This window comes from Homo sapiens, chromosome 11, assembly GCF_000001405.40.
Source record: "Homo sapiens chromosome 11, GRCh38.p14 Primary Assembly".
Taxonomy (NCBI): Eukaryota; Metazoa; Chordata; class Mammalia; order Primates; family Hominidae; genus Homo; species Homo sapiens.
Window position 1 is genome coordinate 48,805,412 of NC_000011.10, and position 18,041 is coordinate 48,823,452.

Genomic DNA, 18,041 nt, shown 5'->3' on the forward strand with positions numbered 1-18,041 from the left:
AATAGACAGAAGCATTCTGAGAAACAACTTTGGGATGTATGCATTCAACTCACTATGATGAACCTTACTTTTGATTGAGCAGTTTGGAAACACTTTTTGTAGAAACTGAAAGTGGATATTTGGAGCACTTTGAGGCCTATGGTGGAAAAGGAAATATCTTCACATAAAAACTGGACAGAAGCATTCTCAGAAACTTCTCTGTCATGTGGGAATTTAAATCACAGAGTTAAACTGTTCTTTTGATTGAGCAGTTTCAAAACCCTCTGTAGAAACTGCAACTGGATATTTGGAGTGCATTGAGGCCTATGGTGGAAAAGGAAGTATCTTAACATAAAAACTAGACAGAAGCATTCTGAGAAACTTGTTTGTGATGTGAGCATTCATCTCACAGAGTTGAACATTTCTTCTGATTGAGCAGTTTTCAACCACTGTTTTTGTAGAATCTGCAATTGGATATTTGGAACACTTTGAGGCCTATGGTGGAAAAGGAAATATCATCACATAAAAACTAGACAGAAGGATTCTCAAGAACTTCTTTGTGATGAGAGAATTCAACTCACAGAGTTGAACCTTTCTTTTGATTGATCAGTTTGGAAACACACTTTTTGTCATATCTGCAAATGGATATTTGGAGTGCTATGAGGCCTATAGTGGAAAAGGAAATATCTTCACATAAAAACTAGACAGAAGCATTCACAGAAACTTCCTTGTGATGTGTGCATTCAACTCACAGAGATGAACCTTTCTTTTGATAGAGCTGTTTTGAAACTCTCTTTTCATAGAATCTGCAAGTGGATATTTGGAGCAATTTGAGGCCTGTGGTGGAAAAGGAAATATCTTCACATAAAAACTAGACAGAAGTATTCTCAGAGATATTTGCACCACCTTGATCTCTACGGTGTAAATGGAAATATCTTCTCATGTAAACTAGAAAGAAGCATTCTCAGAAATTTCTTTGTGATGTGTGCATTCAACTCACAGAGTTGAACCTTCCTTCTGATGGAACAGTTTTGAAACATTCTTTTTGTTGAATCTGCAAGTGGATATTTGGAACGCTTTGGGGCCTAAGGTGGAAAAGGAAATATCTTCACATAAAAACGAGGCAGAAGAATTCTCAGAAACTTCTTTGTGATGTGTGCATTCAACTCACAGAGTTGAAAGTTTCTTTTGATAGAGCACTTATGAAACACTCTTTATGTAGAATCTGCAAGTGGATATTAGGAGCACTTTGAGTCCTACGGTGGAAAAGGAAATATGTTCACATAAAAAATAGACAGAAGAATTTGCAGAGATATATGTAGCGTTTTGAGGCCTACGGTGGAAAGGAAATATCTTCACATATAAACTAGACAGAAGCATTCTCAGAAACGTCTTTGTGATGTGTGCACTCAACACACAGAGTTGAACCTTTCTTTTGATAGAGTAGTTTGGAAACACTCTTTTTGTAGAATCTGCAAGTGGATATTTGTAACGCTTTGAGACCTACGGTGGAAAAGGAAATATCTTCCCATAAAAACTACACAGAAGCATTCTCAGAAACTTCTTTGTGATGTGTGCATTCAACTCACAGAGTGGAAACTTTCTTTTGATAGAGCAGTTTTGAAACACCCTTTTTGTACAATCTGCTAGTGGATATTTGGAATGCTTTGAGACCTATGGTGGAAAAGGAAATATCTTCACATAAAAACTAGTCAGAAGCATTCTTAGAAACTTCTTTGTGATTTGTGCATTGAACTCACAGAGTTTAACCTTCCTTTTGATAGTGCAGTTTTGAAACACTCTTTTTGTATAATCTGCACATGGATATTTGGAACATTTCAGGGCCAACGGTGGAAAAGGAAATATCTTCACATAAAAACTACACAGAAGCATTCTCAGAAACTTCTTTTTGTTGTGTCCATTCAACTCACAGAGTTGAACCTTTCTTTTGGTAGACCAGTTTTGAAACACTCTCTTTGTAGAATCTGCAAGTGGATATTTGGAGTGCTTTGAGGCCTACGGTGGTAAAGGGAATATCTTCACATAAAAAGTAGACAGAAGCATTCTCAGAATCTTCTCTGTGATGTGTGCATTCAACTCACTGAGTTGAAACTTTCGGTTGATAGAGGAGTTTTGAAACACTCTTTTTGTGGAATCTGCAAGTGAATATTAAGAGTGCTTTGAGGCCTACGGTGGAAAAGAAAATATCTTCACATAAAAACTACAGAGAAGCATTCTCAGAAACTTCTTTGTGATGTGTGCCTTGAACTCACAGAGTTGAACTTTTCTTTTGGTAGAGCAGTTTTGAAACACTGTCTTTGTAGAATCTGCAAGTGGATATTTGGAGCACTTTGAGGCCTATGGTTTAAAAGGAAATATCTTCATATAAAAAACAGACAGAAGCATTCGCAGAAACTACTTTGTGATGTGTGTATTCAACTCACAGAGTTGAACCTTCCTTTTGATAGAGCAGTTTTGAAACACTCTTTTTGTAGAATCTGCAAGTGGATGTTAGTAGCACTTTGAGACTTACGGTGGAAAAGGAAATATCTTCACATAAAAACTAGAAAGCAGCCCTCTCAGAAACTTCTTTGTGATGTGTGCATTCAACTCACAGAGTTGAACTTTTCTTTTGATAGAGCAGTTTTGAAACACTCTTTTTGTAGAATCTGCAAGTGGATATTTGGAACACTTTGAGGCCTACAGTGGAAAAGGAAATATCTTCGCATAAAAACTAGACAGAAGCATTCTCAGAAACTTCTTTGTGATTTGTGCATTCAACTCACAGATTGGAACCTTCCTTTTGATAGAGCAGTTTTGAAACACTCTTATTGTGGAATTTGCAAGTGGATATTTGGAGTGCTTTCAGGACTACGGTTCAAAAGGAAATATCTTCCCTTAAAACTAGACAGAAGCATTCTGAGAATCAACTTCAGGATGTGTGCATTCAACTCACAGGGTTGAAATTTTCTTTTGACAGAGCAGTTTTGAAACACTCTTTTTGTAGGATCTGTAAGTGGATATTTGGAGCGCTTTGAGGCCTAGGGTGGAAAACGAAATATCTTCACAGAAAAACTAGAGAGAAGCAGTCTGAGAAATATTTGGAGCGCTTTGAGGACTACAGTGGAAAAGGAAGTATCTTCAAATATAACCTAGAGAGAAGCTTTTTCAGAAACTTGTTTGTGATGTGTGCTTTCCAGTCACAGGTTTGAACCTTCCTTTTGACAGAGCAGTTTTGAGACACTCTTTTTGTAGAATCAGCAAGTGGATGTTTGGAACGCTTTGAGGCCTATGGTGGAAAAGGAAATATCATCACATATAAACTAGACAAAAACATTCTCAGAAATTTCTTTGTGTTGTGTGCATTCAACTCACAGAGTTGAAACTTCCTTTTGATGGAGCAGTTTTGAAACACTCTTATTGTAGAATCTGCAAGTAGATATTTGGAATGCTTTGGGGCCTATGGTGAAAAGGAAATATCTTCACATAAAAACTAGACAGAAGCATTCTCAGAAACTTATTTGTGATGTGTGCATTCAACTCACAGAGTTGAAAGTTGCTTTTGATAGAGCACTTTGGAAGCACTCTTTTTGTAGAATCTGCAAGCAGATATTAGGAGCGCTTTGAGGCCTACGTTGGAAAAGGAAATATATTCACATTAAAAGTAGACAGAAGCATTCTCAGAGATATTTGGACTGCTTTGAGGACTACGGTGGAAAGGGAAATATCTTCACATATAAACTTGACAGAAGCTTTGTCAGAAACTCCTTTTGGGTGTGTGCATTCAAGTCACAGAGATGAACCTTTCTTTTGATAGAGCAGATTTGAAAAACCCTTTTTGTAGAATCTGCAAGTAGATATTTGGAATGCTGTGAGTCCTATGGTGGACAAGGATATATCTTCACATAAAAGCTAGTCAGAAGCATTCTCAGAAACTTCCTTGTGATGTATCCATTGGACTCACAGAGCTGAACCTTTCTTTTGATAGAGCCGTTTCGGAAAACTCCTTTTGTAGAATCTGCAAGTGGATATTTGGAGCGCTTTGATGCCTATGGTGGAAAAGGAAACATCTTAACATAAAAACTAGACAGAAGCATTATCGAAAACTTCTTTGCAATGTGTGCATTCAAATCACAGAGTTGAACCTTTCTTTTGATAGAGCAGTTTTGAAACACTCTTTTTGTAGAATCTGCAAATGGATATTTGGAGCGCTTTGACGCCTACGGTGGAAAAGGAAATATCTTCACAAAAACTCTACACAGAAGCATTCTCAGAAACTACCTTGTGCTGTGTTCATTCAACACACAGAGTTGAACCTTTCTTTTCATAGAGCAGTTTTGAAACACTCTTTTTGTTGTATCTGCAAGTGGATGTTTGGAGCACTTTGAGGCCAGTGGTGTAAAAGGAAATATCTTCACATATAAACTAGACAGAGGGATTCTCAGAAACTTCTTTCTGATGTGTGCATTCAATTCACAGAGTTGAAACTTCCTTTTGATAGAGCAGTTTTAAAACACTCTTTTTATGGAATCTGTAAGTGGATATTTGGAGCGCTTTGAGTCCTACTGTGGAAAAGGAAATATCTTCACATAAAAATTAGACAGAAGCATTCTCAGAGACTTCTTTCTGATGTGTGTATTCAACTCACAGAGTTGAACCTTCCTTTTGATAGAGCAGTTCTGGAACACTCTTTTTGTAGAATGTGCAAGTGGATATTTGGAACGCTTTGAGGCCTATGGTGGAAAAGGACATTATCTTCACCTGAAAACTAGACAGAAGCATTCTCAGAAACTTCCTTGTGATGTGTCCTTTCAACTCACAGAGTTGAACCTTTCTTTTGGTAGAGCAGTTTTGAAACACTCTTTTTGTAGAATCTGCAAGTGAATATTAAGAGCGCTTTGAGGCCTACGGTGGAAAAGGAAATATCTTCTCCCAAAAACTAGACAGAAGCATTCTGAGAAACTTCTATGTGATGTGTGCATTCAACTCAGAGAGTTTAGGCTTTCTTTTGATAGAGCAGCTTTGAAACACTCTTTTTGTTGAATCTGCAAGTGGATATTTGGAACGCTTTGAGGGCTATGGTGGAAAAGAAAATATTTTCTCACAACAACAGACAGAAGCATTCTCATAAACTTCTTTGTTATGTGGGCATTCAACTCACAGAGTTGAACCTTTCTTTTGATAGATAAGTTTTTAAACACTCTTTATGTGGAATCTGCAAGTGGATATTTGGAGTGCTTTGAGGCCTACGGTGGAAAAGAGAATATCTTCACATAAAAACTAGACAGAAGCATTCTCAGAGATACTTGTAGCGCTTTGAGGCCTATGGCACAAAAGGAAATATCTTCACATAGAAATTAGACAGAAGCAATATCAGAAACTACTTTGTGATTTGTGCAATCAACTCACAGGATTGAACATTCCTTTTGATAGAGTAGTTTTGAGACACTCTGTAGAATGTGCAAGTGGATATTTGGAACGCTTTGAGGCCTATGGTGGAAAAGGAAATATCTTCAGGTAAAAACTAGAGAGAAGCATTCTCAGAAACTTCTTTGTGATGTGTGCACTCAGCTCTCAGAGTTGCACCTTTCTTTTGATGGAGCAGTTTTGAGACACTCTTTTTCTAGAAACTGCAAGTGGATATTTGGAGCACTTTGAGGCCTACATTGGAAAAGGAAATACCTTCACATAAAAATTAGACAGAAGCATTCTCCGAAACTTCTTTGTGATGTGTTCACTCAACTCACAGAGTTGAACTTTTCTTTTGATAAAGCAGTTTTGAAACTTTCTTTTTTTAGTATCTGCAATTGGATATTTGGAGCTCTTTGAGGACTACAGTGGAAAAGGACATATCTTCACATAAAAACTAGACAGAAGCATTCTCACAAACTTCTTTGTGATGTGTGCATGCAACTCACAGAGTTGAAACTGTCTTTTGATAGAGCAGTTTTGAATTACTCTTTTTGTAGTATCTGCAAATGGATATTTGCAGCGCTTTGAGGCCTATGGTAGAAAAGGAAATATCTTCTCATAAAAAGGAGACAGAAGCATAATAAGAAATCTCTTTGTGATATGTGCATTCAACTAACAGAGTGGAACCTTACTTCAGATAGAGCAGTTTGGAAAGACTGTTTTTGTAGAATCTGCAAGTTGATATTTGGAGCGCTTTGAGGTCTACAGTGGAAAAGGAAATATCTTCATTTAAAAACTAGACAGAAGGATTCTCAGAAACTTGTTTGTGATGTGTGCATTTTACTCACAGAGTTGAAACTTCTTTTGATGGAGCAGTTTTCAAACACTCTATTTGTAGAATCTGCTACTCGATATTTTGAACTCTTTGATGCCTACGGTGGTAAAGGAAATATCTTCTCATAAAAACTAGACAGAAGCATTCTCAGAAATGTATTTTTGATATGTGCATTTGACTCACAGTGTTGAACCTTTCTTTTGATAGAGCAGTTTTGAAGCACTCTTTTTGTAGAATCTGCAAGTGGATACTTGGAGTGCTTTGAGGCCTAAGATGGTAAAGGAAATATCTTCACATAAAAACTAGACAGAAGCATTCTCAGAAACTTCTTTGTGATGGTGCATTCAACTCACGGAGTTGAGCCTTTCTTTTGATAGAGCAGTTTTGAAACACTCTTTTTGTAGAATCTGCAAGTGGATATTAGGAGCGCTTTGATGCCTAGAGTGGAAAAGAAAATATCATCACATGAAAACTAGACAGAAGCATTCTCAGAAATTTATTTGAGATCTGTGCATTCAATTCACAGAGTTACAGTTTTCTTCTGATGGAGCAGATTTGAGACACTCTTTTTCTAGAAACTGCAAGTGGATATTTGGAACGCTTTGAGGGCTACAGTGGAAAAGGAAATAACTTCACATAAAAAATAGCGCTTTGAGGCCTATGGTGCATAAGGAAATATCTTCACATAAAAAGGAGACAGAAGCATTCTCAGAAACTTCTTTCTGATGTGTGCATTCAACTCACAGAGTTGAACCTTTTTTTTGATAGAGCAGTGTTGAAACACTCTTGTTGTAGAATCTGTAATTCCTTCTTGGAGTGCTTTGAGGCCTATGGTGGAAAAAGAAATATCTTCACATAAAAACTAGACAGAAGTCTTCTCAGAAACTTCTTGGTGATGTGTGCATTAAACTCACAGAGGTGAACCTTCCTTTAGATAGAGCAGTTTTGAAACACTCCTTTTGTAGGATCTGCAAGTGGATTTTTGGAGCACTTTGAGGCCTATGGTAGAAAAGTAAATATCTTCAAATAAAACCTAGACATAAGCATTCTCAGAATCTTCTTTGTGATGTGCACATTTAACTCAGAGTTGAATCTTTCTTTTGATAGAGCAGTTTTGAAACAATCTTTTTGTAGAATCATCAAGTGTATATTTGTAGGGCTTTGAGGCCTACGGTGGAAATGGAAATATCTTCACATAAAAACTAGCAGAAGCATTCTCAGAAACCTCTTTGTCATGTGTGCATTCAACTCACAGAGTTGAACTTTTCTTTTGTTAAAACAGTTTTGAAGCACTCTTTTTGTAGTATCTGCAAGTGGATATTTGGAGCCCTTTGACCCGTACTGTGGAAATGGAAATATGTTCACATAAAAACGAGACAGAGGCACTCTCAGAAACTTTTTGGAGATGTGTGCATTCAACTCACAGAGTTGAACCTTCCTTTTGATAGATCAGCTTTGAAACACTCTTTTGTTGAATCTGCAAGTGGATATTTGGAGTGCTTTGAGGCCTATGGTGGAAAAGGAAATATCTTCACATAAAAACTAGACAGAAGCATTCTCAGAAACTTCATTGTGATGTGTGCATAGAACTCACAGAGTTGAACCTATTTTTTGATACAGCAGTTTTGTAACACTCTTTTTGTAGAATCTGCAAGTCGATATTTGGAGCGCTTTGAGACCTAGGTTGGAAAAGGAAATATCTTCACATAAAAACTAGACAGAAACATTCTCAGAAACTTCTTTGTGATGTGTGCAATCAACTCACAGTGTTGAACCTTCCTATTGATAGATGAGTTTTGAAACACTCTTTCTGTAGAATCTGCAAGTGGATATTTGGAGCGCCTGGAATCCTATGGTAGAAAAGGAAATATCTTCACATAGAAACTGTACAGAAGCATTCTCAGAAACATCTATGGGATGTGTGCATTCAACTCACAGAGCTGAACCTTTCTTTTGATAGAGCAGTTTTGAAATATTCTTTCTGTGAAATCTGCAGGTGGATATTTGGAGCGCTTTGAGGCCTGTGGTGGAAAAGGAAATATCTTCACCTAAAAACTATAGAGAAGCATTCTCAGAAACTTCTTTGTGATGTGTGCATTCAACTCACAGAGTTGAACATTTCTTTTGATAGAGTAGTTTTGAAACACTCTTTCTGTAGAAACTGCTAGTGGATATTTGGAGCGCTTTGAGGCCTATGGTGGAAAAGGAAATAACTTCACATAAAAACTAGATAGAAGTATTCTCAGAAACTTCTTTGTGATGGGTGCATTCAGTTCACAGAGTTGAACCTTCCTTTTGATACAGCCGTTTTGAAACACTCTTTTTGTGTAATCTGCAAGTGGATTTTTTGAACGTTTTGAAACCTGCGGTGGAAATGAAAATATCTTCACATAAAAACTGGACAGAAGCCTTCTCAGAAACTTCTTTTAGATGTTTGCATTCAAGTCACAGGGTTGAACCTTTCTTTTGACAGAGCACTTTTGAAACTCTTTTTGTAGAATCTGCAAGTGGACATTTGTATCGCTTTGAAGGATGTGGTAGAAAAGGAAATATGTTCACATAGAAACTAGACAGAAGCATTCTCAGAAACTTCTTTGAAATGAGTGCATTCAATTCACAGTGTTAAACCTTTCTTTTGATTAAGAAGTTTGGAAACAATCTTTCTGTAGAAACTGCAAATGGATACTTGGAGCGCTTTTTGGCCTACAGCTGAAAAGGAAATATCTTCACATAAAAACGAGACAGAAGCATTCTGAGAAACTTTTTTGTGATGTGTGCATTAATCTCACAGAGTTGAACCTTTCTTTTGATTAAGAAATTTTGAAACACTCTATTTTTGGAAACTGCAAGTGGATATTTGGGGTGCTTTGAGGCCTAAGGTGGAAACGGAAATATCTTCACATAAAAACTAGACAGAAGCATTCTCAGAAACTTCTTTGTGATGTGTACATTCAACTCTCGGAGTTGAACTTTTCTTTTGTTTGAGCAGTTTGGAAACACTCTTTTTGTAGTAAATGCAAATGGATACTTGGAGCCCTTAGAGGCCTTATAGCTGAAAAGGGAATATCTTCATATAATAACTAGACAGAAGCACTCTGAGCAAGTTCCTTGTGATGTGTGCATTCATCTCACAGAGTTGGACCCTTCTTTTTATTTAGAAGATTTGAAATAGTCTTTTTGTAGAATCTGCAAGTGGATATTTGTAGAGCTTTGAGGCCTATGGTGGAAAAGGGAATATCTTCCATAAAAACTAGACAGAAGTATTCTCAGAAACTTCTTTTTGACGTGTGCATTCAACACTCAGAGTTGAAATTTTTTTTGATTGAGCAGTTTGGAAACACTCTTTTTGTAGTAACTGCAATTGGATATTTGGAAGGCTTTCAGACCTATAGCTAAAAAGGAAATATCTTCATATAGTAACTAGACAGAAGCAACCTGAGAAACTTCTTTGTGTGCATTCATCTCACAGAGTTGAACCTTTCTTTTGATTGAGAAGTTTTGAAACACTCTTTTTGTACAATCGCAAGTGGATAATTTGAGCACGTTGATGCCTATGGTGGAAAAGGAATTATCTTCACATAAAAACTAGACAGAAGCATTCTGAGAAACTTCTTTGTTATGTGCGCATTTATCACACAGATTTGAAAATTTCTTTTGATTGAGCAGTTTGGAAACACTCTTTTTCTACAATCTGCAAGTGGATATTTGGAGTGCTTTGATGTCTATGTTTAAAAAGAAAATATCTTCACATAGAAACTAGACAGAAGCATTCTCAGAAATTTCTTTGTGATGTGAGCATTCAACTCTCAGAGGTGAACATTTCTTTTAATTGAGCATTTTGGAAACACACTTTTATTAGTAACTGCAAATGGATATATGGAGCGCTTTGAGGAATGTATCTGAAGAGGAAATATCTTCATATAAAAACAACACTGAAACATTCTGAGAAACTTCTTTGTTATGTGTGCATTCACCTCACAGAGTTGAACCATTCTTTTGACTGAGAAGTTTTGAAAAACTCTTTTTGTAGAATCTGCAAGTGCATATTTGGAGTGCTTTGAGGCCTATGGTGGAAAAGGAAATATCTTCACATAAAAACAAGACAGAAGGATTCTGAGAAACTTATTTGTGATGTGTGCATTCACCTCACGGAGTTGAATCTTTCTTTTGATTGAGCACTTTTGAAACACTCTTTTTATAGAACCTGCAAGTGGATATTTGGACTGCTTAGAGGCCGATAGTGGAAAAGAAACATGTTCACATAAAAACTAGACAGAAGAATTCTGAGAAACTTCTTTGTGATGTATTCATTCAACTCACATAGTTCAACCTTTCTTTTGATTGAGCAGTTTGAAAACACTCTTTTTGTAGAATCTGCAAGTGGATATTTGGAGAGCTTTGAGGGCTATGTTGGAAAAGAAATTTTCTGCACATAAAAACTAGACAGAAACATTCTCAGAAACTTCTTTGTGATGTGCGCATTCATCTCACAGAGTTGAACCTTTCTTTTGATTGAGAAGTTTTTAAACACTCTTTTTGTAGATTCTGCAAGTGGATATTTGGAGTGCTTTGAGACCTATGGTGGAAAAGGAAATATCTTCACATAGAAGCTGGACAGAAGCATTCTCAGAAACTACTTTGTGATGTGTGCATTTAACTCTCACAGTTGAACCTTTCTTTTGATTGAGCAGTTTGGAAACACTCTTTTTGTAGTAACTACTAATGGATATTTGGAGCTCTTTGAGGCCTACAGCTGAAAAGGAAGTATCTTCACATAAAAACTAGACAGAAACATTCTGAGAAACTTCTATGTGATGTGTGTATTCATCTCAAATATTTGAACCTTTCTTTTGATTGAGCAACTTGAAAAACACTTTTTGTAGTATCTGCAAGTGGATATTTGGAGCACTTTGAGGCCTATGTTGGAAAAGGAAATAACTTCACATAAAAAGTAGACAGAAGCATTCTCAGAAACAACTTTCTGCTGTGGGCATTTAACTCTTAGAGTTGAACTTTTCTTTTGATTGAGCAGTTTGGAAACACTCTTTTTGTAGTAACTGCAAAGGATATTTGCATCACTTTGAAGCCTATAGCTGGAAAGGAAATATCTTCATATAAAAACTACACAGAAGCATTCTGAGAAACTTCTTTGTTATGTTTGCATTCATGTCACATAGTTGAACCATTCTTTTGATTCAGAAGTTTTGAAACACTCTTTTTTAGTAAGTGAAAATGGATATTTGGAGCACTTTGAGTCCTAGAGCTGAAAAGGAAATATCTTCATATAAAAACTACACAGAAGCATTCTGAGAAACTTATTTGATATGTATGCATTCAAGGTAAAGAGTTAAAATGTTCTTTCCATTGAGAAGTTTTGAAACACTCTTTTTGTAGAAGCTGAAAGTGGATATTTGGAGTGCTTTGAGGCCAATGGTGGAAAAGAAAATATCTTCATAAAGAAACTAGACAGAAGCATTCTGAGAAACTTCTTTGTTATGTGTGCATTCAACTCACAGATTTGAACCTTTCTTTTATTATAGCAGCTTTGAGACACACTTTTTCCAGAAACTGCAAGTGGATATTTGGAGCACTTTGAGGCCTACGGTGGAAAAGGAAATACCTTCACTTAAAAACTAGACAGAAGCATTCTCAGAAACTTCCTTGTGATGTGTGCATTCAACTCACAGAGTTGAACCTTCCTTTTGATAGAGCAGTTTTGTAACACTCTTTCTGAAGAATCCACAAGAGGATATTTGGAGCGCTTTGAGGCCTACAGTGGAAAAGGAAATATGTTCACATAAAAAATACACTGAAGCATTCTCAGAAACTTCTTTGTGATGTGGGCATTCAACTGACAGAGTTGAGCCTTTCTTTTGATGGAGCAGTTTTGGGACACTCTTTTTATAGAATCAGCAAGAGGATATTTGGAGCACTTTGAGGCCTACATTTGAAAAGGAATTACCTTCAAATAAAAATTAGACAGAAGCATTCTCAGAAACTACTTTGAGATGTGTGGACTCAACTTACAGAGTTGAACTTTTCTTTTGATATAGCAGTTTTGAAACTCTCTTTTTGTACAATCTGCAAGTGGATATTTGGAGAGCTTTGATGCCTATGGTGGAAAAGGAAATATCTTCACAAAAAAACTAGACAGAAGCATTCTCAGAGATATTTGGACCGCTTTGAGGCCTACGGTGGAAAAGGAAATATCTTCACATATGAACTAGACAGAAACATTCTCAGGAACTTGTTTGTGATGTGTGCTTTCAACTCGCATGTTTGAACCTTCCTTTTGATAGAGCAGTTTTGAAATACTCTTTTTGTACAATCTGCAAGTGGATATTTGGAACGGTTTGAGGCCTATGGTGGAAAAGGAAATGTCTTCACATAAAAACTAGATAGAAGCATTGTCAGAAACTTCTTTGTGATGTGTGCACTCAACTCACAGAGTTGAACCTTTCTTTTGATAGAGCAGTTTTGAGACACTCTTTTGTAGAATCTGCAAGTGGATATTTGGACCGCTTTGAGTCCTTCGTTGGAAACGGGAATATCTTCACAAAAAACTAGACAGAAGCTTTCTCAGAAACTTCTTTGTGATGTGTCCATTCAACTCTCAGAGTTGAAGCTTTCTTTTGATTGAGGAGTTTGGAAACACTTTTTTTGTAGCAACTGCAAATGGATATTTGGAGCACTTTGTGGCTTATATTTGAAAAGGAAACATCTTCACATAAAAACTAGACAGAAGCATTCCAAGAAACTTCCTTACAATGTGTGGATTCATCTCACAGATTTCATCCTTTCTTTGGATTGAGCAGTTTTGAAACACTCTTTTGGTAGAATCTGTAAGTGGATATTTTGAGCGCCTTGATTCCTATGGTGGAAAAGGAAATATCTTCAAATAAAAAATAGAGAGAAGCATTCTCAGAAACTTCTTTGTGATGACGGCATTCAACTCTCAGAGTTGAATCTTTCTTTTGATTGAGCATTTTAAAAATCTCTTTTTGTAGTAACTGCAAAGGGATATTTGGCACGCTTTGAGGCCTGTAGTTGAAAATGAAATATCTACACATAAAAACTGGACAGAAGCATTCTGAGAAACCTCTTCATGATGTGTGCATTCACTTCACCGTGTTAAACCTTTCTTTTGATTGGGCAGTTTTGACACACTCTTTTTGTAGAATCTGATATTGGATATTTGGAGTGCTTTGAGGCCTATGGTGAAAAAGGAAATATCTTCACATAGAAACTAGACAGAAGCATTCTCAGAAACTTCTTTGGGATGAGTGCATTCAATTCACAGAGTTGAACCTTTCTTTTGATTGAGCAGTTTGGAAACAATCTTTTTGTAGTAACTACAAATGGATACTTGGAGCGCTTTGAGGCCTATAGCTTAAAAGGAAATATCTTCACATAAAAACTAGACAGAAGCATTCTGAGAAACTTCTTTGTGATGTGTGCATTAATCTCACAGAGTTGAACCTTTCTTTTGGTTAAGAAGTTTTGAAACACTCTTTTTTTGGAAACTGCAAGTGGATATTTGGAGCGCTTTGAGGCCTATGGTGGAAAAGGAAATATCTTTACATAAAAACTAGACAGAAGCATTCTCAGAAACTTCTTTGTGATGTGTGCATTCAACTCTCAGAGTTGAACTTCTCTTTTGTTTGAGCATTTTGGGAACACTCTTTCTGTAGTAACTGCAAATGGATATTTGGAGCCCTTTGAGGTCTATAGCTGAAAAGGGAATATCTTCATATAATAACTAGACAGAAGCACTCTGAGTGAGTTCTTTGTGATGTGTGCATTCATCTCACAGAGTTGAACCTTTCTTTTGATTGAGAAGTTTTGAAACACTCTTTTTGTACAATTGCAAGTGGATATTTGGAGGGCCTTGATGCCTATGGTGGAAAAGGAAATATCTTCACATTACAAATAGACAGAAGCATTCTGAGAAACTTCTTTGTTATGTTCGCATTTATCTCACAGATTTGAACCTTTCTTTTGATTGAGCAGTTTGGAAACACTCTTTTTCTACAATCTGCAAATGGATATTTGGAGTTCTTTGAGACCTATGTTTTAAAAGAAAATATCTTCACATAGAACCTAGACAGAAGCATTCTCAGAAATTTCTTTGTGATGTGGGCATTCAACTCTCAGAAGTGAATCTTTCTTTTGATTGAGCATTTTGGAAGCAATCTTTTATTAGTAACTGCAAATGGATATATGGAGCGCTTTGAGGAATGTATCTGAAAAGGAAATATCTTCATATATAAACTACTCGGAAGCATTCTGAGAAGCTTCTTTGTTATGTGTGCATTCACCTCACAGAGTTGAACCATTCTTTTGACTGAGAAGTTTTGAAAAACTCTTTTTGTAGAATCTGCAAGTGCATATTTGGAGTGCTTTGAGGCCTATGGTGGAAAAGGAAATATCTTCACATAAAAACAAGACAGAAGGATTCTGAGAAACTTATTTGTGATGTGTGCATTCACCTCACGGAGTTGAACCTTTCTTTTGATTGAGCACTTTTGAAACACTCTTTTTGTAGAATCTGCAAGTGGATATTTGGAGTGCTTTGTGGCCAACGGTGGAAAAGAAACATGTTCACATAAAAACGAGACAGAAGAATTCGAGAAACTTCTTTGTGATGTGTTCATTCAACTCACGTAGTTCAACCTTTCTTTTGATTGAGCAGTTTGAAAACACTCTTTCTGTAGAATCTGCAAGTGGATATTTGGAGCGCTTTGAGGCCTATGGTGGAAAAGAAAATTTCTGCACATAAAAACTAGACAGAAACATTCTGAGAAACTTCTTTGTGATGTGTGCATTCATCTCACAGAGTTGAACCTTTCTTTTGATTGAGAAGTTTTCAAACACTCTTTTCGTAGATTCTGCAAGTGGATATTTGGAGTGCTTTGAGACCTATGGAGGAAAAGGAAATATCTTCACATAGAAGCTGGACGGAAGCATTCTCAGAAACTACTTTGTGATGTGTGCATTTAACTCTCGCAGTTGAACATTTCCTTTGCTTGAGCAGTTTGGAAACACTCTTTTTGTAGTAACTGCAAATGGATATGTGCATCACTTTGAAGCGTATATCTGAGAAGGAAATATCTTCATATAAAAACTACTCAGAATCATTCTGAGAAACTTCTTTGTTATGTGTGCATTCATATCACAGTCTTAAACAATTCTTTTGATTCAGAAGTTTTGAAACACTCTTTTTGTAGTAAGTGCAAATGGATATTTGGAGCACTTTGAGTCCTCCAAATATATATATATATATAGCTGAAAAGGAAATATCTTCATATAAAAACTTGACAGAAGAATTCTGAGAAACTTCTTTGATATGTGTGCATTCAAGGCAAAGAGTTGAAATATTCTTTTGATTGAGAAGTATTGAAACACTCTTTTTGTAGAACCTGCAAGTGGATATTTGGAGTGCTTTGAGGCCAATGGTGGAAAGAAAATATCTTCACAAAGAAACTAGACAGAAGCATTCTCTGAAACTTCTTTGTTATGTGTGCATTCAACTCTCATAGTTGAACCTTTCTTTTGATTGAGCAGTTTGGACACACTCTTTTTGTAGTAACTGCAAATGGATACTTGGGGTGCTTTGACGACAATAGCTGAAACGGAAATATCTGCACTTAAAAACTACACAGAAGCATTCTGAGAAACTTCTTTGTGATGTGTGGATTCATCACACAGACTTTTAACTATCTTTGATTGAGCAGTTTTGAGACACACTTTTTGTAGAATCTGCAGGTGGATATTTTGAGCACTTTGAGGCCTATGTTGGAAAAGGAAATATCTTAGCATAAAAACTAGACAGAAGCATTCTCAGAAACTTCTTTGTGATGTGTGCATTCAACTCTCAGAGTCGAAGTTTTCTTTTGATTGAGCAGTTTGGAAACACTCTTTTAGTAAGAACTGCAAATGTCTATTAGGAACACTATGTGACCTAGAGCGAAGAGAAAATATCTTCATATAATAAGTAGACGGAAGCATTCTGAGAAACTTCTTTGTGATGTGTTCGTTCATCTCACAGAGTTGAACATTTCTTTTGATTGGGAAGTTTTGAAACACTCTTTTTGTAGAATCTGCAAGTGGATATTGGGAGTGCTTTGAGGCCTATTGTGGAAAAGGAAATGTCTTCACATAAAAACTAGACCGAAGCATTCTCAGAAACTTCTTTGTGATGTGTGCATTCAACTCATAAAGATGAACCTTTCTTTCACTTGCGCAGCTTGGAGACACTCTTTTTGTAGTAACTTCAAGTGGATATTTGAAGCGGTTTGAGGCCTACAGCAGAAAAGGAAATATATTCACATAAAAAGTAGACAGAAGAATTCTGAGAAACTTCTTTGGGATGTGTGCATTCACCTTACAGAGTGGAAACTTTCTTTTGATTGAGAAATTTTAAAACACTCATTTGTAGAATCTGTAAGTGGGTATTTGGAGAACTTTGAGGCCTATGGTGGAAAAGGAAATATCTTCTCATAAAAACTAGACAGAAGAATTCTGAGAAACTTCTTTGTGATGTGTGCATTCAACAGTCAGGAATGAAAATTTCTTTTGATTGGGCAGTTTGGAAACACTCTCTTTGTTGTAACTATAAATGGATGTTTGGAGCACTTAGAGGCCTATAGCTGAAAAAGAAGTATCTTCACATAAAAACTATACAGAAGCATTCTGCGAAAATTCTTTGAAATGGGTGTATTCATATCACAGATTTGAACCTTTCTTTTGATTGAGAAGGTTTGAAACACTCTTTTTGTAGAATCTCCAAATGTATATTTGGAGCGCTTTGTGGCCTGTGGTTGAAAAGGAAATATCTTCACATAAATACTCTACAGAAGCATTCTCAGAAACTTCTTTGTGATGTGTGCATTCAACTCAAAGAGGTGAAATTTTCTTTTGATTGAGCAACATGGAAACACTCTTTTTGTAGAATCTGCAAGTGGATATTTGGAGCGCTTTGAGGCCAATGGTTGAAAAGGAAATATCTTCAGAAAGAACTACAGAGAATCATTCTGAGAAACTTCTTTGTGATGTGTGCATTCATCTCACAGAGTTGAACCTTTCTTTTGATTGAGCAGTTTAGAAACACTCTTTTGGTAGAATCTGCAAGTGGATATTTGGAGTGCCTTGAGGCCTATGGTGGATAAGGAAATATCTTCACATAAAAACCAGATAGAAGCATTCTGAGAAACTTTCTGCATGTGCGCTTTTGTCTCACAGAGTTGAACCCTTCTTTTGATTGCGCAGTTTTGAAACACTCTTTTTGTAGAATCTGCAAGTGGACATTTGGAACGCTTTGAGGCCTATGGTGGAAAAGGAAATATCTTCACATAGAAACTAGACAGAAGCATTCTAAGAAACTTCTTTGTGATTAGTGCATTGAATTCACAGAGTTGAACCTTTCATTTGATTGAGCAGTTTGGAAGCACTTTTTGTCGAAACTGCAAATGGATATTTGGAGCTCTTTGAGGCCTATAGCTGAAAAGGAAATATCTTCACATAAAAACTAGACAGAAGCATTCTCAGAAACTCCTTTGTGATGTGTGCATTCAACTCTCAGAGTTGAACTTTTCTTTTGATAGAGCAGTTAGGAAACAATCTTTTTGTAGAATCTGCATGTGGATATTTGGAGTGCTTTGAGGCCAATGGTGGAAAAGGAAATATCTTCACATAGAACCTAGACAGAAGCATTCTCAGAAACTTCTTTGCGATGAGTGCATTCAACTCACAAAGTTGAACATTTCTTTTGATTGAGCAGTTTGGAAACACTCTTTTTGTAGAATCTGTAAGTGCC

At 36.5% G+C, this 18,041-nt stretch overlaps 4 annotated features.

Moving 5' to 3' along the window:
- Positions 479-1,256: an enhancer, noted in NCBI's record as "NANOG hESC enhancer chr11:48827442-48828219 (GRCh37/hg19 assembly coordinates)". NCBI's record gives its function as "activates a minimal SCP1, AML or CMV promoter by ChIP-STARR-seq in primed H9 embryonic stem cells {active_cell/tissue: H9 hESC(primed)}" and the evidence as "EXISTENCE:reporter gene assay evidence [ECO:0000049][PMID:30033119]".
- Positions 10,178-10,759: an enhancer, noted in NCBI's record as "NANOG hESC enhancer chr11:48837141-48837722 (GRCh37/hg19 assembly coordinates)". NCBI's record gives its function as "activates a minimal SCP1, AML or CMV promoter by ChIP-STARR-seq in primed H9 embryonic stem cells {active_cell/tissue: H9 hESC(primed)}" and the evidence as "EXISTENCE:reporter gene assay evidence [ECO:0000049][PMID:30033119]".
- Positions 11,640-12,185: an enhancer, noted in NCBI's record as "OCT4-NANOG hESC enhancer chr11:48838603-48839148 (GRCh37/hg19 assembly coordinates)". NCBI's record gives its function as "activates a minimal SCP1, AML or CMV promoter by ChIP-STARR-seq in primed H9 embryonic stem cells {active_cell/tissue: H9 hESC(primed)}" and the evidence as "EXISTENCE:reporter gene assay evidence [ECO:0000049][PMID:30033119]".
- Positions 15,725-16,226: an enhancer, noted in NCBI's record as "OCT4 hESC enhancer chr11:48842688-48843189 (GRCh37/hg19 assembly coordinates)". NCBI's record gives its function as "activates a minimal SCP1, AML or CMV promoter by ChIP-STARR-seq in naive H9 embryonic stem cells {active_cell/tissue: H9 hESC(naive)}" and the evidence as "EXISTENCE:reporter gene assay evidence [ECO:0000049][PMID:30033119]".